The sequence below is a fragment of the Homo sapiens genome, chromosome 7 (assembly GCF_000001405.40).
Source record: "Homo sapiens chromosome 7, GRCh38.p14 Primary Assembly".
In the NCBI taxonomy this organism is placed as follows: Eukaryota; Metazoa; Chordata; class Mammalia; order Primates; family Hominidae; genus Homo; species Homo sapiens.
This window is the reverse complement of record NC_000007.14, coordinates 135100088-135121759: the sequence shown is the minus strand read 5'-3', so window position 1 is coordinate 135121759 and position 21672 is coordinate 135100088. Positions and strand designations below refer to the sequence as shown.

Sequence of the window (21672 nt, the reverse complement as noted above, 5' to 3'; positions counted from 1 at the left end):
CTCTCTGTGGATCACACCAGCCTCCTAGTCAGTTCTGATGAGAGAACCTGGATACCTTGCTTATTATAGTTCTTTTCAATGGGAGCCTCCGAATGCCGCTGTTTCTAGTCAGCCATCTTGGCCCCATCCCAGAGAATATTTTTGACTCACGATTTATTCAGAAGTGTGTTATTTAGTTTCCAAATGTTTAGGTTTTTTTTTTTTTTTCCTATTACCCTTTGGCTATTGATTTCTAGTTGGATTCCATTGTGGTCAGATATACACTTTCTATGATTTAAATTCTTTTAAATATGTTGAGGTTTATTTCATAGCTAGGATATGTTCTATCTTGGTATATGATCCACGTACACTTGAAAATAATGTGTACTGTGCTGTTGTTGGATGAAGTGCTCCTTAAATGTCAGTTAGATATTTATATTCTTGTTGAATTATTTTATATCCTTGCTTATTTTCTAATTATTGAAACAATTGTGAATTTGTCTATTTCTCCTTTCTGTTTTATCAGTTTTTGCTTCACATATTTTGCAGTTCTGTGTTGTTTTGTTTTGTTTTTTGAGACGGAGTTTTGTTTTTGTTGCCCAGGCTGGAGTGCAATGGCACCATCTTGGCTCACCGCAACCTCCACCTCCCGGGTTCAAGTGATTCTCCTGCCTCAGCCTCCCGAGTAGCTGGGATTACAGGTATGAGACACCACACCCGGCTAATTTTTTGTATTTTTAGTGGAGACAGGGTTTCTCTGTGTTGGTCAGGCTGGTCTCAAACTCCCGACCTCAGGTAATCCACCTGCCTCGGCCTCCCAAGGTGCTGGGATTACAGGTGTAAGCCACTGCACCCAGCCAGTTCTGTGATTTTATACACACATCTAAGATTGCTGTGTTTCTAGTGGATTGACCTTTTAAACATTATATATAATGCCCCTCTTTGATAATTTTCTTTCCTCTAAAATCTACTTTACCTAATATTAACATAGCCACTTCTGCTTTCATCTATTAATGTTTGCATGATGTATCTTCTTCCATCCTTTTACTTTCAGCCTGCCTCCATTGTCATATTTGAAATGAGTTTCTTGTGACTGCATATTGTTGGGTAATGTTTTAAAATTCATTCTGTTAATCTGTCCTTAACTGTTGTATTTAGGTCATTTACATTTAATGTAATAGTTGATGTCTTAGGACTTAAATCTGCCATTTAAAAAAAGTTTATCTTTTGTTTTTTGTTTTCTCTTTCCTGCCTTCCTGTGGGTAATGTGAACATTTTTCAAGAATTCCATTTTGATTTATTTAGTGTTTTTTAGTATATCTCTTTGAACAGCTTTTTCAGTGGTTGCTGTATTATACTACATATGCATAACTTATCACAATTTATTGGTTGTGTTAACTTAGTAATTTGAGTGAAGTACAAACCTTACCTCCTTTTATGTCCTTTTACCTTCTCACATTTATAGTGGTCTTAAATATGTCTTTTATGTATATTTGGAACCACATCAATATTATAATTTTTGCTTCAACCATCAAATATGATTTAGAAAAATTTATATTTACGTGTATTTTATATCTACCTGTATTTTTGCTTACCGTATTCTTTCTTTCCTGATATTCCTTCTTTTGTCATTTTCTATCTGTTTAGAAAAATTCCTTTAGTCATTCTTTTAGAGTAAGTCTTCTGGTGAAAAATTCTCTTCATTTTCTTTTATCTGAACCTTTCTTGACTTCTCCCTTATTTTCACTGGGTATAGGATTCTAAGTTGACAATTTCTTCCAATAATTAAAATTATTGTGCTTTGTGGGTTTTGATGAGAAATCCACTGTCATTCAAATTGTTTTTCCTCTGTAGGAAAGGTGTCATTTTTCTCTGACTCCTTTCTTTTTCTTTTTTTATTTTTTGAGACGGAGTCTCGCTCTGTCACCCAGGCTGGAGTGCAGTGGCACGATCTTGGCTCACTGCAAGCTCTGCCTCCCAGGTTCATGCCATTCTCCTGCCTCAGCCTCCAGAGTAGCTGGAACTACAGGCACCCGCTGCCACGCCCAGCTAATTTTTTGTATTTTTAGTAGAGACGGGGTTTCACCGTGTTAGCCAGGTTGGTCTTGATCTCCTGAACTCGTGATCTGCCCACCTCGGCCTCCCAAAGTGCTGGGATTACAGGCATGAGCCACTGTGCCCAGCCTCTCTGACTCCTTTCGATAGTTTTTTCTTTTTTTTTTGGTCTCATTTTCAGAAGTTAAATTTTGGGGAATGGGCATGGTGGCTCATGCCTGTAATCCCAGCACTTTGGGAGCTGAGGGAGTCAGATCACTTGAGGTCAGGAGTTCGAGACCAGCATGGCCAACACAGCAAAACCTCGTCTCTACTAAAAATACAAAAATTGGGCCAGGCATGGTGGTGGGTGCCTATAACCCCAGCTACTCGGAAGGCTGAGGCACGAGAATCACTTGAACCCAGGAGGCGGAGGTTTCAGTGAGCTAAGATTGTTCCACTGGACTCCAGCCTGGGTAACTGAGCAAGACTTTGTCTCAAAAAAAAAAAAATTTAAATTTTGGGGTATCTTGGCATGAATTTCTTTGGGTGTATCCTATTAATGGTCTGCTCAGCTTTTTGATCTATAGGTTTATGTCTCCTGTCAAATTTGGGAACCTTTCAGCCATTATTTCTTTGATTTCTTTTTCAGCCCTATATTCATTCTCCTGTCCTTCTGAAACTACGATATGTGAATATTATTAGATTTTGTCTTATAGTCCTACAGGTGCCTGCAGCTCTATTCATTTTATTTTAAGCCTATTTTTTCTCTTATGTTCAGTTGGGTAATTTCTATTTTTCTATCTCTCTCAATTCACTGACTCTTTCCTCTATTTGTACAATTATACTGTTCTGCTCAGCCATTAAGCTTTTAAAATTTCAGTGGTATTTTTCAATTCAAAAATTTCTATTTGGTTCTTAATATTTTTTTCTCTCTCTCTCTGCTGAGGCTATTTTTTTATTTCTTCCAAGTGTGTTTATAAGTGTTTTTTGAAGCATTTTAATTATGATTACTTTAAAAATCTTTGTCAAAAAATTCTAACATCATTAACATCTCAGTGTTTGTGTCTACTAATTGTCTTTTTTCAGTTTTAGATCTTCCTGGTTCTTGGTACAAGAATTTATTTCTGATTAAAACATAGACACTTTCATATTATGTTATGAGACTCTGGATCTTATGTAAACCCTCTGTTTTGGCTTTTTGTTAGTTTGCTCCAGCTCAGGGAGTGGGGAGATAAGACCTCATTACTGCAAGATGGAAGTGGAAGTCCAGGTTCCCCATCTGGACCCCATTGACACCAGAGATAGGAGGCTTCTAATTATTATTGGACAGATGTGGAGGTTCATCTCCATATGTAGCCTCCATTGAGATTGGGGTGGGGTCTAGGTGACAATTAGGACATGGCGTGATTTTTAGTCATTACTTTCATAAGAGGTTCCTTATATATTAATACTTTGAATCTAGAAATGCACTCAATGAGGATTGGCCTGAGCATGAAGGTACAGACAAATAGTGAGGTATTAACTAAGACCTCTTTGGTTACAAGTAACAGAAACCAATTCAAGCTAGCTTAATTAAAAAAAGCATAAGGTAGGGTAGGGGAAGAATTATAAGAAAGTACAAAGCTACTCATGGAAACAGAGGGAGAGGGAATTCAGCCAGGCTTCAGGAAAGGACTAGAACTAGAAAATGGAAAACATCCAAGGGTTTTTATTCATCTGCAGTCTCTGCTTTTCTCTCTCCACAGGAAAGTTTTTACTTCCCTTAGCTCAAATTTGCATCCTACAGCAGTTTCATGTGCAAGACTGATCCACTATCTCTCATTCCAATTCCAAAGTATAGAGAAAGATAATCTGATTGGCAACCATGCCAGTGGGTAGAGGTCACATAATTACAAATGCAGCTTTTGGAAGTGCTACCCTTGTGGATCAAGAGGCAGTCCCCAGAGAAGGGCAAATTGTGCCTGAGGTAGACACCCCCAAAAGTATCTGATATAGGTGTATATGGAAATATTAAAAAGTAGGAAAGCAGCAAGCAAATCCTTTCTTAACAGATGATCTCACTGCAAACTTAAACATTGTCAGGTTGATTTTTGTTGTTGTTGTTTTTCTTACAACTTAGTTCTTTATGGCTACCTTCTCTGTTTTATATATCATTTGTTTGACTGTCTCAACACTCTTACATGCTATTACCTATAGTAAGTGATTTCAGGGTAAAGTGAGAATAAGCAAAGAATGAGAAGATCACACTTTGCTAAACCATTTTAGACATTGGTCTAATTTAGGATTAAGGAGAAACTAGTTAATGTGCTGTAAGAGTTTGCAGAATTATCATGTTGAACATGACGTTACATCTGAATGTAATCATAGGGCTGAAACCTACATTGTCTGTTCTGTTCTTAAGCCAAAATGAATAGGGTCTAGGTGGATTAATAGGTGAATTGCATGTTAACAAGATGATTTACATACCTTAAATTTCTCTCTGGTCAAACATAGGTCAGATTTCAATATGGAGGAATAAATCTCATGCTTGGCATTCCATTTGGTAATGATGAAAATTCTTGAGAAAGATTATGCAAATCAAAATATAATTGGAGATATTTTTCACTTCCATGAAGATGAAGCAGATGCATTTTCCCTATTCTTTGCACTAAAAATAACTACAAATCCTGGACATTACATATAAAATGAACAAAAGGCAACTCCGAAAGGTAGAAAGCAGGCAGGCTAGCTAAGGACTTCAAGAACAAAGGAACAACACAATGGTGTCTCCTGGGTTTTCTTTTTGCCTCATATATCCAAGACTTGGAGCTGAAGAAGCCAGCAATCTGAAAACACAAATGTGCCCAGACACATGCACAAAAAGCTCTCAACAATAGCCTGTACTGTGTAGAAAAGGACCAGGAAAGGGACAGCCTACTGATATAGAAAATGTTAGGCAATAACCACTGTACTCCAGCCAAGCACCACAGATAAACAGTGCCCTCACTCCCACCCATGTAAGCAGAGGCAGAGGGGCTTACACTTCCACTCTTATGAGGTATAATGGGGGATCTCAAACCTCTGCTAGGGTGGAGTCAAAGAAGAACAAATAGAAGCCAGAACTTTGACCCTCCCACTGGCCTATAAAGAGTCTCTCTCCTCCCCCAGGGTGTCATTGGAAACCAAATGGGGAGCCGAGATTTCCATACTCAATGGACAGAAATGAAGTACCTCTTTCTCTCCCCATTGGGCTGGTGTCAGAGGAGGCCTAGTGAAGAGTCAGGGTTTTTACTACTGCACAGTAGCAATGGTTCATAGCCTTCACCCATTTTCTTATGAAAGTATTCATAAGTTTCCAGTTGATATGTAAGCACTCTTTGTATATTAAGTATATTGGTCATGTTTTTCACTTATAAAGAGAAATGGCAAAGCATAATGATGAAGTTCAGGAGGACTCTGTAGTCAGAATGTCTAGGTGGATTTGACTCCAGATTCCACTACATATTGGCTTGTGAGGCTTTGGACAAATTATTTAACCTCTTTGCACCTCAGTTTTCTCATGTGTAAAATGTAAAGTGTATACATATATAACTTAGAACGGTGTGTAGCACATAGGAAGTACATTATAAAAATCTGTTGATAATATTAGTATTGTATTTATTATTTTCAGCTTATTACTGTCTTTACTTTTATTTACACATGTTTCCTTTTGGCCTTAGAGGTAGTTCTGTTTTTTATCTTTAGAAGAAAACTGGTCTCGCTCTTTCTGCTTTCATCTCAGTATCAATAAACTGAAGTAGCTCAGGTTAATTATTTTTAATTCTGGTTACCCCATAGGATTATAAGGCTTAAAACAGCTGATAATTTTCAAATCAGGCTATAATCATACTTTATTTATGCCTACTTTATTAATAGATCTAAATTAATGAGTAGTTTCATGCAAATAATCAATTAAATAAGGCCTGATAACTTACTCCTTCATTTATCCAGTGTTTTCTGACAGCTTTGGGTCTTTGTTCTTTGCCAAATGTGATGGAGCTGACATCATTTTCAAGAGCAGATTTTTTTTTCGTAGGATAATAAATTAATAAGCCCTGCTTTTTTAAAAAAGATGTGTTAAATAGATAAGAGTGATAAAATTGTATTGACTTACTGATGTTGGATTTGGAAGTTGGTTCTTGGATTGAATAGCTGTTTTATCTGAGTGGTTTGCATGTTTTTAGTGCTATGCACGATGGGGAGCAAATACTGCAATATTTCTTGAGTTTGAACTATTCCTTTATCCTTGTAGCTTCTTTTTTCATCATCTGTCCAATTTATGCCAGTCTTCTTGCTTTGGAAAGATATGCATTCTTTTATTTTGCTTTTTAAGTTGTGGTGCAGATCTGGGGAGCAACCACAAAAATATGTACAGAGATATGAACTCTATTCACAATTACTTATTGGGCATTATTATATGCCAAGGATTTTATCTAAAATTCCTTGCCCATCTGAAGCTTGTACTTTAATGACAGTGGGCAGAAAATAAACAAATAAAATATATATTATGTTAGATAATGATAAAGTTTACGGGATAAAGTAAAGCTGCGGAGGGGAGTAGAGAATTCTTGAGGGGTTGATTTCCATTTTTAAAAAGGTGTTAAGAAAAAGCCTCCTTATGAAGCTGACATCTCATGGAAGTTAGGAAGTAAATCGAGCAGGTTTCAGGGGAAAGATAATTCGAGACAAAGGCCCTTACTGAGGTAGGAGAATAGTAGTGTGTTCAAGAACACCAAGAATGCATCAGTGGGTGGAGTAGAATGAACAAAAGGGAAAGTTATAAGGGGTAAATTTAGGTAGGTAACATGGACTCAGCTCATGTTGGGCCTCAAAGCCAGTAGAAGGACTTTGATTTTTACTGAGTGTGAGATGGAAAATCACTGGAAGGCATTGAGCAGAGGAGTGTCAGTCTGAGATTTGTTTGGACAAGATTGTGCTGGTTGTCAAGTTGAGAACAGATTGAAGAGAGGCAAGAGTGAACAAACAGGGAGATCTCTTGGAAGGCTTCAGAAACAATCCAGGAGAGATGGCGGTAGCTTGGACCAGGGTGGTGGAAATGGCTAGAAGGGTGAGAAGTGGGGTGGGAGTATTCTGGGTACATATGTGGATTTTCTAAAGAATTGGATGTGAGATGAGAGAATAAGAGAGGAATCAGTGGTGGCTCCAAAGCTTCTAGTTTGAGGAAATGGCAGTATAAGGACATGGGGGAGACTGGGAAGAGCATGTTAGAAATCCCTTCTTTATTAGATGATACAAAGGAATTATTGTTTTGTTAATGGAGACACTGGAATATAATAACATTTTAAAAAATGTTTATCTCACCCCATATTAGGATGGCTGCTATCAAAAAAAACCTCCAGAAAATAACAAGTGCTGGCAAGGATTTAGAAAAATTGGAACCTTCACACATTATTAATAAGAATGTAAAATGGTACAACATTGTGGAAAACAATATGATGGTTCCTCAATAATTAAAAATAGGATTACCATATGACCCAGCAATTCCACTTCTGGTTATATGCCCAAAAGCATTGAAAGCAGGGTCCCAAAGAGACATAGATACATTCATATTTATAGTAGCATTATTCATAATAGCCAACAGTGTAAGCAACACACGTGTTCATTGATGAATGGATTAACAAAATGAGGTATATTCATACAATGGAATATTATTTAGTCTTAAAAAGGAAGGAAATACTGACAAATGCTACAATACTGATAAACCTTGAGACCATTATACAAAATAAAATAAGCCAGACACAAAAAGACAAATATCACATTTGTCATCCAAATATTTGACTCCACTTCCTAATTTGACTAGAATATTCCATTGACTAGAATTCTATTTGACTAGAGCAGTCAAATTCATAGACACAAAAGTAGAAGGATGGTTTCCAGGTGCTGGGGGGAGGGAGAATTGCAGAGGAATAGGCATAAAGTTTCAATTTTAAAAGAGAAAAAGGAGTTCTGGAGATTGCACCACAATGCGACTGTACTTAACACTACTGAATTGTACACTTAAAATTAGTTGATGGTAAATTTTGTTATGTGTATTTTATCACAATTTAGAGTCTACATACTTGGGAAGTGGGTGGAACCCTGAGTAAAGCCTGAAGGAAGACTAGTAGTCAGACATTTAAAAAAATGTCCTATAATTTATAATTGTCATGCTTAAATTGGTCCGTAGACAGCATAAGAGAAAGTAGAATACATTTAGAATAAAAGCAAGAAATACACTGTGCTTTGTTAATAACTGTTTATCTAGTGATATACACTAAACTGTTTATAGGCAAAATAATATAATTTATAGAATTTATTTTAAAATATTCTAGGAAAAAAGTAGTGGGAAAACAGATGAAACAAGAGTAGCAGGATGCTGATGAGGATGGGTGATGGGTATCAGTGGACTCATTATTCTATTTCTACTTTTGTTTATGTTTGAAAATTTCTACAATAAGTTTTTTTGTAAAGAAATTATCTATTCTTAAAAGGAAAATAAAAAGATAAATAAAGCACACATTGCTTTAAGCTAGATCTGAAAGATAATGTATGATTACAATATCTGGCAATATTGGCAAATGAAATGAACTTATTTACAGTTTCTTGATAAGCCATTCTTAGGCCACTCAATAAACATTCACTGAATGTAGGCCGGGTGTGGTAGCTCATGCTTGTAATCTCAGCACTTTAGGAGGCTGAGGCAGATGGATCACTTGAGGTTAGGAATTCGAGACTAGCCTGGCCAACAGGGTGAAACCCTGTCTCTACTAAAAATACAAAAATTAAGTCGGCATGGTGGCGAGTTCTGTAATCCCAGCTACTCAGGAGGCTGAGGCAGAGGAATTGCTTGAACCCAGGAGGCGGAGGTTGCAGTGAGCCAAGATCGCATCACTGCACTCCAGCCTGTGTGACAGAGCAATCAATACTCCATCTCAAAAAAATAAAAATAAACATTCAGTGAATGCTTATTATGTATCTGGCACTATTTTTGTTTGGTAAATAGATGTGAAAAACACAGTCCCTGCCTTCAATATGTTAAGAATCAGGACTAGAGAGCAAAAAGTAAAGTATCTATTAGAATATACTCCTATAGAGATAAACCAGGGCACTCACTACATACATATACTTATAGCCATACTTATAGATGGGGGCAAAGGGTATGGGGTAAATGAATGAACACAAGTCAGCCAAGTAAAAAAGGACAGTCATCTAGGATGTGGGACTAACATGGCACATTCAGGAAATCACAAGTGTGGTGTAGAATAATTGGGATATCAGGTAGGTATGAAGACATGGTTCAAAACTAGAGGACTTGTTTGCAATAACACTTTTGAGATCCTCTGAGATGGGAATAATTCATGACTGACAGATGCTAAATAAATGTGTTTTGAATGAAACAGGGGGACATTGAAGATTTTACGCAAGAAAATCAGGTTTGCATTTTTGAAAGATCACACTGGGACCCAGGAAAACAAAAGGTTGAAGAAAAGTGAAACACAAGGCAGGGAGACAAATTAGGAGGCTAATGCAGTTATTCAAGGGAGGCAAAATGAGGGTCTGAATTAGCGGTAGCATTAGGATGAAGAGAGCAGATTCAAGAGAATCTTTAGAGGTAGAATGGATAGAGCTTCATGTTATTAAAGACCAAAAAACAGAAGTGTACAACATTAGGATAAGTCTTGGGTTTATTACTTAGATAACTGGATGATGGCAGTACACTGACTGAGACATGGGATGCAGGAGAAAGAGATCGGAAGTGGACACATTGAATAGAAGTGCCTGTGCGGAAAAACAGATGGCGATATCCAGTAGGCAGAGGAATATGAAATTCAGGAGAGGCTTAGACTGAAGATTAAAAAATATGATGGTTGTCAGTTGCTGGTTGAAGCTGCAGGTAGAGATGAGAGTGCTCAGAAATAAAGTATGTGGTGAGAAAGACCAAAGGATGGACTACTGTAAAACAGCCCACTTAAAATTTAGGCAGAGGTGATGTCCTACATGGGCTCCTCTTCACATATTTCAACACGTTTCATGAATGGCTAGAGAAACAGGAGTAAAACCAGGAGAGAGTAGTGTCACAGATATGACACTCAGATATTCATTGAGCTATTTCACAATAGCTATTGTGAAATGTTATTAAAGACCAAAAAACAGACGTGTACAACATTAGGATAAGTCTTGGGTTTATTACTTAGATAACTGGATGATGGCAGTACACTGACTGAGACATGGGATGCACAATAGCTATTGTGAAATAGCTCAATGAATCAAGGGAAATAGTTTAAAGGCCCTGAAAATAATCACCAGTAGAGAAGTTAGTATGGCTTTGTAAATAACCATTTCATGGTATGGCAACAGTAGAAACATTCTCAAGCAGTAGGTTGAGAAGTATACAAGTGAGGAAGTGAAGGTAATGAATGTTGGCTATATTTTGAGGAAGGTGAGTAAGACGGCAGTAATTAGAGTTATGTCACTAAGGAAATTGATGGACATGGGATCTAGAGCACTGCTGAATGAATTAACCTTAAACAGAGGGATATTTATTTCTTTGAAACAAGAAGGAAGGATGTTTGAGATGAGTTAATTTATTGATGGCCTCTCTGGTTTTTGTTTCTGTTTTATATGTGAAGTAAGAAGTTAGGTCATCTACTGAGGGTAAAGGGGAGATGTTAGGTAGGAGAGAGAGAGGAAAAAGTTTAGAATAGTTACTTTGGAGAATGGAAGAGGTAGCTGATCAAGTATATGTATATATAAATTATGCAAACAAGAATGTATAATGCCATTTGGTAATGTAATTTTTCTCCAGCAGGGCTCTGTAATCTAAGATAGGGGCAGAGATGGATAGTTAGATTCATCCAGAATTGCAGTTGTTCAGCATTGGCTTAGTCAAAGGATAAGGAGGCAAAACGAGTTTTAAGGACATTGTTAAGAAAGTGGTTGGGAGGCTGGCTAGATGGAGCTTGCATTTGTCGCTCTCATGGAGAGAAACTGAAGGAGTGAGTGAACACAACACCTTCAACTGAAATATCCAGGTACACACATTGGATTCATAAAGAAAACAACTTGACCCATGGAGAACAGAGAAAAGCAAGGCAGACAGCTGCCCACCCAGGAGCGACACAGAGCCAGGAGAGCCTCCCCTGCCCAAGGAAGGGGTGAGTCAGTGAGTGATGATGGGGACCCACGCTTCTCCCACAGATCTTTGCAGCTCCCAGGTCAGGAGGTCTTCTCATGAACCCACTCCACCAATTCCTGCAGTCTGACACATAGGGTTATTGATACATGGAGTCTTGGCAGAGCAGCTACTCAGGCATATACAGAGCCCCAGGAGCTTTAGATACTCGGGTTTCCCAGCAAAAGTGGCTGCAACTCCAGCAAAGTGGGAAGTTAGACCTCTGTACATACCCCTAGGAAAGGGGCTGAATCCAGGGGGCTGAGCAGTGACCGTCTGCAGATCCTGCTGCCACAGCACATCTCAGGATAAGACCCACTGGCTTGGAACTCCAGCCAGCCAGTGGTAGCAGTGTTGTACCTCCCTGAGACAGAGCTCCCAGAGGGACTGGCTTGGAACTCCAGCCAGCCACTAGTAGCAGTGTTACACCTCCCTGAGACAGAGCTCCCAGAGGGAGGGTGAACCACTATCTTTGCTGTTTTGCAGCCCTAGCCATTGTTGCCTTTGGTGCAGCCACCCTACAGAAAAGAAGCTAGACTACTTTTTCACATGGGTCTTTGATGCTGCTTCTCCTCAATGGGCAGAACTTCTCAACCAGGGTCACCAGTCACCCTTACTGGTGTTTTCCAGCTGGCAGTGGTTCAGAGCCTCCCTGGTATAGAGCTTCCACGAGAAAGGATGGGCCACCGTCTTTGCTATTTCACAGCCTTAGCCATGTTTGCCTTCAGGCTCTAGACAGTCTGAGGTGATTAGGGATTGGAGTGGTCCCCTGGCGCAGCACAGCAGCTCTCCATAAAAGTGGTCAGACTGCTTTTTCACACAGGCACTGGATCCCATTTCTCTTCACTGGGAGGAATTTCCTGACCAAGGTCTACAGATACCCCTGCTAGTGTTTTCTGTCAGCAACAGTTTCAAACTTCCCTGGGACAGAGCTCCCAGAGGGAGGGGTGGGCCACCATCTTTGCTGTTTCACGACCTTCATTGTTGGTACCTTCAGGTGCTGAAAAATCCGAGGTGACAAGGGACTGGAGCAGACCCCCAGCATACTGCAGCAGCCATACAGAAAGCGGGCAGACTGTTTGTTATGTGGGCCCCCATCCTGTATCTCTTCACTAGGCATGTCCTCCCAGTCTGAGTCTTCAGCCACTCCTTGCTGGGGCTATCGAGCCAATAGCAGCTCTACAACTGCCTGGGACAGAGCTCTCAGTGGGAGAGGTGGGTTGTCATCTTTGCTCTCTTGCAGCCCTCACCCGTGCTGCCTCCAGGCCCTAGAGAGAATTCTGGCAGTTCGATGGCCCAAGTGTCTTATGTCCTTCAAATGACTGCATCAGTTCTCCAACCAGGGTTCTTAACCTGAGTTGGTTGAAATGACAGAAATAGAATTCAGAATATGGATAGGAAAGATCATCAAAATTCAGGAGAATGGCAAAACCCAATCCAAGGAAACTAAGAATCACAATAAAATGGATACAGGAGCTGACAAACAAAATAGGCAGTATAAAAAAGAACCTAACTGATCTTATAGAGCTATAAAACACACTACAAGAATTTCACAACACAACCCTAAGTATTAACAGCAGAATAGACCAAGCTGAGGAAAGAATCTTGGAGCTTGAAGACTGGTTCTCTGAATTAAGACAGCCAGATAAAAATAAAGAGAACTAAGAATAAAAAGGAATGAACAAAACCTCTGAGAAACATGGATTATGTAAAGAGGCCAAATTTATGAATCATTTGCATCCCTGAAAGGGACAGGGAAAAAGCAAAACATTTCAGGATATTGTCCATGAAAACTTCCCCAACTTTGCTAGAGAGGCCATCAGTCAAATCCAGAAAATACAGGAAACCCCTGCAAGATTCTATACAAGAAGATCATTCCCAAGACACATAAACATCAGATTTTCCAAGGTAGAAATGAAAGACTATTAAAGGCAGGTAGAGAGAAAGGGCAGGTCACCTACAAAGGGAACCCCATCAGCTGACTTCTCAGCAGAAACCCTACAAGCCAGAAGAGATTGGGGGCCTATATTCAATATTCTTAAAGAAAAAAATTTTGAACCCAGAATTCCACATCCAGTCAAACTAAGCTTCCTCAGTGAAGGAGAAATAAGATCCATTTTAGATAAGCCAATGCTGAGGGAGTTCATTACCACCAGACCCACCTTATAAGAGATCTTGAAAGGAGCACTAAATATGGAAAGGAAAGACCAATACCAGCCAAAACACTTAAGTACGTAGACCAGTGACACTATAAAGCAATCACACAAGCCAGCCAGCATAATAAACAGCTAACAACACAATGACAGGATCAAATCCACACATATCAATACTAACCTTGAATGTAAATGGGCTAAATGCCCCCATTTAAAAGGTACAGAGTGGCAAGCTGGAAAAAAACAGCAAAATCTAATGGTATGCTATCTTCTAGAGACCCATCTCACATGCAGTGACACCCATAGGCTCAAAATAAAGGGATGGAGAAGAATCTACCAAGTAAATGGAAATCAGAAAAAAGCAGGGGTTGCAATCCTAATTTCAGACCACCAAGACTTTAAATCAACAAAGATAAAAAAAAAAGATAAAGACATTACATAATGGTAATCAGGGCTCAATTCAACAAGAAGACCTAAGTATTCTAAATATATATGTACCCAACACAGGAGCACCCAGATTCATAAAGCAAGTTCCTAGAGACCTACAAAAAGACTTAGATTCCCACACAAAATAGTGGGAGACTTCAATACTCCACTAACAGTATTAGATCACCAAGGCAGAAAATTCACAAAGATATTCAGGATGTGAATCCAACATTGGACCAAATAGATCTGATAGACATCTACAGAACTCTCCATCCTAAATCAACAGAATATACATTCTTCTCATTGCCATATGGTACATACTCTAAAATTGACTACACAATCAGACATAAAACAATTCTCAGGAAATGCAAAAGAACTGAAATCATAACCAACACACTCCTAGATCACAGCACAATAAAAATAGAAATCAAGATTTAAAAAATTTGCTCAAAACCATGCAATTACAGGGAAACTAAACAACATGCTCCTGAATGACTTTCGGGTAAATAATGAAGTTAAGGCAGAAATCAAGAAGCTCTTTTTAATTAATGAGAACAAAGATATAACATACCAGAATCTCTGGGACATAGCTAAGGCAGTGTTAAGAGAGAAATTTATATCACTAAATGCCCATATCAGAAAGTTAGGAAGATCTCAAATTAACAACCTAACCTCACAACTAAAATAACTAGAGAAGCAGGAGCAAACCTCCTTCAAAGCTGGCAGAAGACATGAAACAACCCAAGTCAGAGCTGAAGTGGAGGAGACTGAGACATGAAAAAGCCATTGAAAATATCGATTAATCCAGGAGTTGGCTTTTTGAAAAAAAAATCAATAATATAGATAGGTTGGTAGCTAGACTAATAAAGAAGAAAAGAGAGAAGATCCAAAGAATCACAATAAGGAATGACAAAGGGGATGTTACCACTAACCCCACAGTAAAACAATAATCAGAGACTACTATGAACATGTCTATGCACACAAACTAGAAAACCTAGAAGAGATGGATAAATTCCTGGATATATACACCCTCCCAAGACTGAACCAGGAAGAAATCGATTCCCTGAACAGTTCAATAGTGACCTCTGAAATAGAATCAGTAATAAATAGCTTATCATCCAAAAAAATCCCAGGACAAAACAGATTCACAGCTGAATTCAATCAGATGTACAAAGACGAGCTGGTACCATTCCTACTGAAACTATTTCAAAAAGCTGAGGAGGAGGGACTCCTCCCCAACTCATTCTATGAAGCCAGCATTATCCTGATACCAAAACCTGGCAGAGCCACAACAATAAAAGAAAACTTCAGGCCAATATCCTTGGTGAACATTGATGCAAAAATCCTCAACAAAATACTTGCAAACCAAATCCAGCAGCACATCAAAAAGCTAATCCACCATGATCAAGTAGGCTTTATTCCTGGGATGCAAGTTTGGTTCAACATATGCAAATCAAGAAATGTGATTCATCACATAAACAGAACTAAAGACAAAACCACGTGATTTTCTCAATAGATGCAGAAAAGGCTTTTGATAAAATTCAACATTCCTCCATGTTAAAAACTCTCAATAAACTAGTATTGAAGGAACATACCTAAAAATATCTATGACATGCCCACAGCCAACATCGTACTGTGGGCAAAAGCTGGAAGCATTCCCCTTAAATACTGGCACAAGACAAGGATGCCCTCTCTCACCTTTCTATTCAACATAATATTGGAAGACCTGGCCAGAGCAATCAGCCAAGATAAAGAAATAAAGAGCATCCAAATAGGAAGAGCGGAATTCAGACTATGCCTGTTTGCAGACAACATGATTCTAGAAAACCTCAGTCTTGGCCCAAAAGCTCCTTCAGCTGACAAACAACTTCAGGAAGTTTCAGGATACAAAATCAATGTACAAAAATCACTGGCATTCCTATATACCAACAACAGCCTAACCGAGAGCCAAATCAGGAACACAATCCCATTCATAATAGCCACAAGAAGAATAAAATGCCTAGGAATATTGGTAACTAGGGAGGTGAAAGATCTCTACAATGAAAATTACAAAACACTGCTCAAAGAAATCAGAAGTGACATAAACAAATGGAACATTCCATGCTCATGGGTCAGAAGAATCAATGTCATTAAAATGGTCATATTGTCCAAAGCAATTTACAGATTCAATGCTATTCCTATCAAACTACCAATGACATTCTTCACAGAACCAGAAAAAATTATTGTAAAAATCATATGGAAACAAACAAACAAACAAAAGCCCAAATAGCAAAGGCAATCCTAAGCAAAAAGAACAAAGCTGGAGGCATCACGTTACCTGACTTCAAACTATATTATAGGGCTATAGTAACCAAAACAGCATGGTACTGTACAAAAACAGACACATAGACCAATGGAACCAAATAGAGAGCCCAGAAATAAGGCTGCACATCTACAACCATCTGATCTTCTACAAATCTGACAAAAACAAGCAATGGGGAAAGATTCCCTATTCAATAACAGGTGCTGGGATAACTGGCTAGCCATATGCAGAAGATTGAAACTGCACCCCTACCTTACACCATATACAAAAATCAACTCAAGATGGATTAAAAACTTGAATGTAGGTTGGGCGCAGTGGCCTATGCCTGTAATCCCAGCACTTTGGGAGACCGAGGCAGGCGGATCACCTGAGGTCAGGAGTTCAAGACCAGCCTGGCCAACATGGTGAAACCCCATCCCTACTAAAAATGCAAAAATTAGCCAGACGTGGTGGTGGGCACCTGTAATCCCAGCGACTGGGGAGGCTGAGGCAAGAGAATCTCTTGAATCTGGGAGGTGGAGGTTGCAGTGAGCCAAGATTACACCACTGCACTCCAGCCTGGGTGAAAGAGCAAGACTCCATCTCAAAAAAAAAAAAAAAAACTTGAATGTAAAACCCAAAACTATAAAAACCCTGGAAGACAACCTAGGCAATACTATTCTGCACATAGGAACTGGCAAAAATTTCATGACAAGGACACCAAAAGCAATCACAACAAAAGCAAAAATTGACAAATGAGATCTAATTAAACTTAAGAGCTTCTGCACAGCAAAAGAAACTATCAACAGAGTAAACAGGCAACCTACAGAGTGGGGAGAAAATATTTGCATCTGACAAAGGTCTAAATATCCAGCATCTATAAAGAACTTAAACAAATGTACAAGAAAAAAAAAAACCAAACAGCCCCATTAAAAAGTGGGCAAAGGACATGAACACTTTTCAAAAGAAGACATACATGTGGCCAAAAGGCATATGAAATAAAGCTCAATATCACTGATCATTAAAGAAATGCAAATCAAAACCACAATGAGATACCATCTCACAGCAGTCAGAATGACTATTATTAAAAAGTCAAAAAATAACAAATGCCGGCAAGGTTGCAGAAAAAAGGGAATCTTATACACTGTTGGTGGGAGTGTAGATTAGTTCAACCATTATAGAAAGCAGTATGGTGATTCCTTAAGGAGCTAAAAACAGAATTACCACTCAACCTGGTAATTCTATTACTGGGTATATATCCAAAGCAATATAAATCATTTTATCATAAAAATACATGCATATGTATGTTCACTGCAACGCTATTCATTGCTATTGTGAATAATAGCAAAGACATGGAATCAACCTAGATGCCTATCAATGGTGGACTGAATAAAGAAAATGTGGTACACATACACCATGGAATACTATGTAGCCATGAAAATAATGAGATCATGTCCTATGCAGGAACATGGATGGAGGTGGAGGCCATTAACCTTAGCAAACTAGCACAGGAACAGAAAACCAAATATCACATGTTGTCACTTATAAGTGGGAGCCAAATTATGAGAACATAGGGACACAAAGAGGGGAACAACAGACACTGGGGCCTACTTGAGGGTGAAGGGTGGGAGGAGGGAGAGGATCAGAAAAAGTATCTATTGGGTACTGGGGTGATGAAATAATCTGTACAAACCCCATGACATAAGTTTACCTATATAAGTTTACCTATATGGGGTACCTGCACATGTACCCCAAACTTCAAAGTTTAAAAATAAAATAATACCATGATGAACATCCTTACATTAAAAAAAAATAAAGCAGTTGAAGCAGTTGAAGAAAATTACAACACAAGGAATGGAGAAAATGTGATAGAGACGTGGATGAGGTTGCAAGAGCTGAAATGTAACCTATATTCCTTAAATTTGGAATTGAGCTAATGTAGATTCTCAATCTGCCTGACTCTGCTTATTTATACCTGTCCAGATTCCAACTTTCAGTGAGATATGATGTGACTACAGATATCTATTATTCCCCTCTCAGTCTCCTACTGAGATAGAATGTGAAAAAGAGGAAACTGACTACCATAAGAAAACAGTAGGGATTATGGGTTTCCATATGTCAGAAACTTGAAGGCCTTTCTGTTAAATACAGTGCAGACGGATCAGATAAAACTCCTGTAGGCTGATTTTTAAAAATCTTTCCTAAGAAAAAAGCATGCATATTAAGAAAATAAAGAAACACTGGAAATATTCTATACTCTAACTCATATGGGTGAGAGTTTGATTCAAGAACAGATTATTGATAGTTGTGAGAGTATATTTTTGGACTTCACTTAAAACATTTTCTATATTCCCGAATATAGAGAGACTAGTATAAGGAACTCCCTCTTAAACCTATCACTCAGCTTCAATAATTTGATTTCTTTTTGCTGCAGTGATTAATATTTAGAATCCACCAAGAGCATTAGAAGAAATGATTATAGACAGCTAACATAAGCAGAAAATCTAGGCAGGTGAAGCACGTTCCAAAGAAAGAGAAATGATTCCTGGAATGCCATGACTTATTTCCAGGTGCGGATGGTCTGGCTAAGTAGAAGAGTGGATTCTGCCGGAGTATTGTGTTTGTGTTTACCAAGTTCAAAGAAGAAATGACATAGGTATAAAACAAGGCCTTTATTGGTTGTACATTTGGTAATTTTTTTCCAATATGTCCCATGCATTTTAATTTTCTTAACAGTGTCTTTTAAAGAGAATGATTTTGATGAAGTTCATTTACCAAGTTTTTCTTTTATAATTGGTGTTTATGAGTACTATTTGAGGAGTCTTTTCTTATTCCAAGACCATAAAGATTCTCTCCCATGCTTTTTCCTATAAGTTTTTATGATTTTAGCTTAGATATTTAGATCTATGATCCATTTTGAGTTAATTTTTTTTTGCTATGGTGTAAGACAAGGGTTAGGGTTAATTTTTATATGAATATTTAAGAGCCAAATAGATGATCATTTTATGATCTGGAGATGGGAGATGGGGTAAAACCTTCCAAGCATTAGAGCAATGAAAAAAAAAAAACCACAAGAGAAAGGACCAAAGTTCTCTCATACTGAAAGTACTCTTGGTGAAAATTTAAGCCTTCATGAAATGGTCTACTGGCTTGTCATAGCCACATAATACTGAGAACATGAGTAAGTGTGGTGCATATTTTGAGATGCATTGTTTCAATGCTTTGGATTATGTCAATGGAGTATAAAATTTTATTGGCCAATTATTCCATATTATTATCTTTGATATTATTAACATTTTTTAAGAATTAATGAATAGAATGACTGTTTTTTATAAAACACTTTAGGGAAGGTAAACTAAAAATGTCAATTCATTCCAGAAACAGAAGAAAATATAAGTATAATTTCCATGGTAGTCCAATTTTTAGACCTAATGAAGAAACTTTATGTTCCATTGAAGCTCAGCAGATAATATTTAAGTAATCACAGATTTGGAGCGGTGAATTTGACTTTAGCCTTACTTACTATAATTTAAACTAACATGAATTACCATTGTATTAGTCTGTTTTTATGCTGCTGATAAAGACATTCTCCAGACTGGGTAATTTATAAAGGAAAAGAGGTTTAATGGAATCACGATTCTATGTGGCTAGGGAGGCCTCACGATCATGGTGGAAGGCAAAAGGCACGTCTTACATGGAAGCAGGCAAGAGAGAATGAGAGCAAAGCGAAAGCGGAAACCCCTTATAAAACCAACGGATCTCGTGAGACTTATTTACTATCATGAGGACAGCATGGGGGACGCCGCCTCCATGATTCAATTATCTCTCATGGAATCCCTCCCACAACATGTGGGAATTATGGGAGCTATAATTGAAGATGAGATTTGGGTGGGGACACAGGCAAACCATATCAACCATGATGGAATCAAGGCTGGGCCAATCTTTTCTGCCCTTCTGTTGGGCACTTCAGTATAGAAATATCCCAAGACAGAAACTATGAACTATATTAGTCTTCAATTAGTTAAGGGCCACTCTAAAGAGTGATGAAGTAAAAGATGGTTTTCAACTGAAAACCCCATGTCTAGGAAGCAGAAGTGACCAGAATGTCTTTTTATTTTCTTGGCGGGTGGTGGTGAGGATGAAAGGCATCAAGTAACAGGAAGGTATTAGGAATACAGCAATTAAGTTTTTTTTTTAAGGCTATATTAAACTGAAATAATTTCCTTCTATATTCAACTCATATACAAATTAAATAAAGCAAGTATTTTTCACAGACAGGACTAAAATAGCTATCAATCTCATCCTTTTACAAAAGTAGTTCCCATAATCCAAGTTTCATAGGATATGTTAATGATGATATAGTGAAAACCATCTTTGTATGCATGAAAATCTTAAACAATAAAAACAAGTAACAACCTTCTGTTGGTATCCTTGTCTTCTCAGTCCAAGTAGAAGTTTGTTTGCCCATAGGAGACTGCAGGGATGTCACTTTGAAACAGTTTCCATACAAATCAGTTCCCTTGAGGGGAATTTTTTTCCTAGATTGGCCTCTCACTGATTTCTAAAAAATGTTTGTGTTGGTCTTTGCTATGACTCTGAGTCATACTTTGGGAGATGAAAAAAATTGGGTCCTCTGATTTCATTGTCAACAGTAAGCTACTCATGTAAGAGTAATGTAATAGCCATGTTATATTTGCATATTACACCTCAGGGTATGCAAAGTCTTTTAATACACTATCATACTTGGTGCTCTGATCAGTCTCATGATGTAGGCAGGATGGCCAATGTTATTCCCATGTTACATAAGGGGAATCAGAGAGGTTAAGCTATTTGCTCAAGATCACATAACTAGTAAGGGGCAGAGGTGGGTGTAGCATTCACATCTTCTAACTGCAGTACTTTTTCTATTACCTTCTTTTGTCTTGATATATCATTTTATTTCTTTCCATAAGACATGATAAATAATACATTTTAAAAAATTAAGTCAGTTTAAAATAACCAATTCTAGATCCAAGTGAAAGTAGGCCCAAAGATGCTTTACATGTTGGTCTCTTACCTAAATTTCTATATTTCTGGGGCAAGAGAGTCTACATCTTTCATCAGAACCCATTTTATTTAACAGAAACTGAGTTCTTAGAAGAGAAGCCAGGAAGGAAGAGAGGATATACCATGGTCTCTCTGTTGTACAAATCTAGTTGGTTCTCAAATACTTACCTATGGTTACCTATTCCACCATCCAGACAGTTGTTTATATTATTCCTAAGTAAGGGGAAACTTGCCAAGGGTGATAGAGATATAATAATTACTGGTTTAGACAAAACTATAAAGTTTGTCTGTTATATTTGACTTCCCATTCTCTTCTTTCTCCAGTTTTTAGTATTAGTTTTATCCCCCCATGACCAGTGCTCCAGTTGCTGCAATGGATAGTAAAGCATTTGATTGTCATTCATTCTAAAGTGCTAGATAATTATCTTATGCCACCAGTGTTTTTTTTTTTTTTAAAGAGAAACTCGGGTGCAGTGGCTCACGCCTGTAATCCCAGCATTTTGGGAGGTTGAGGTAGGCAGATCACGAGGTCGGGAGATCGAGACCATCCTGGTTAACAC

The 21672-nt window shown here is 38.1% G+C and overlaps 2 protein-coding genes across 12 annotated transcripts in view; one reads left to right on the top strand and one right to left on the bottom strand.

The window, feature by feature from the left end:
* The window catches only part of AGBL3 (AGBL carboxypeptidase 3), a 149271-nt gene that overhangs the window by 14019 nt on the left and 113580 nt on the right, over window positions 1-21672 (bottom strand). For 3 of the 10 annotated variants that reach the window (NM_178563.4, NM_001345851.1, NM_001345850.1), the window contains one exon: window positions 6149-6380. The exons of 4 other annotated variants lie outside the window; for them this stretch is intronic. In NM_178563.4, the coding sequence (NP_848658.3) occupies window positions 6149-6380 (232 nt within the window). Of the gene's footprint in view, window positions 1-781; window positions 4574-5884; window positions 6381-21672 lie in introns of those variants that run through there. 3 more of the 10 variants (XM_047420319.1, XM_047420318.1, NR_160300.1) reach the window with 3 other exon arrangements.
* Window positions 1-21672, top strand: part of CYREN (cell cycle regulator of NHEJ) — an 80167-nt gene that overhangs the window by 50710 nt on the left and 7785 nt on the right. The window lies entirely within an intron of this gene.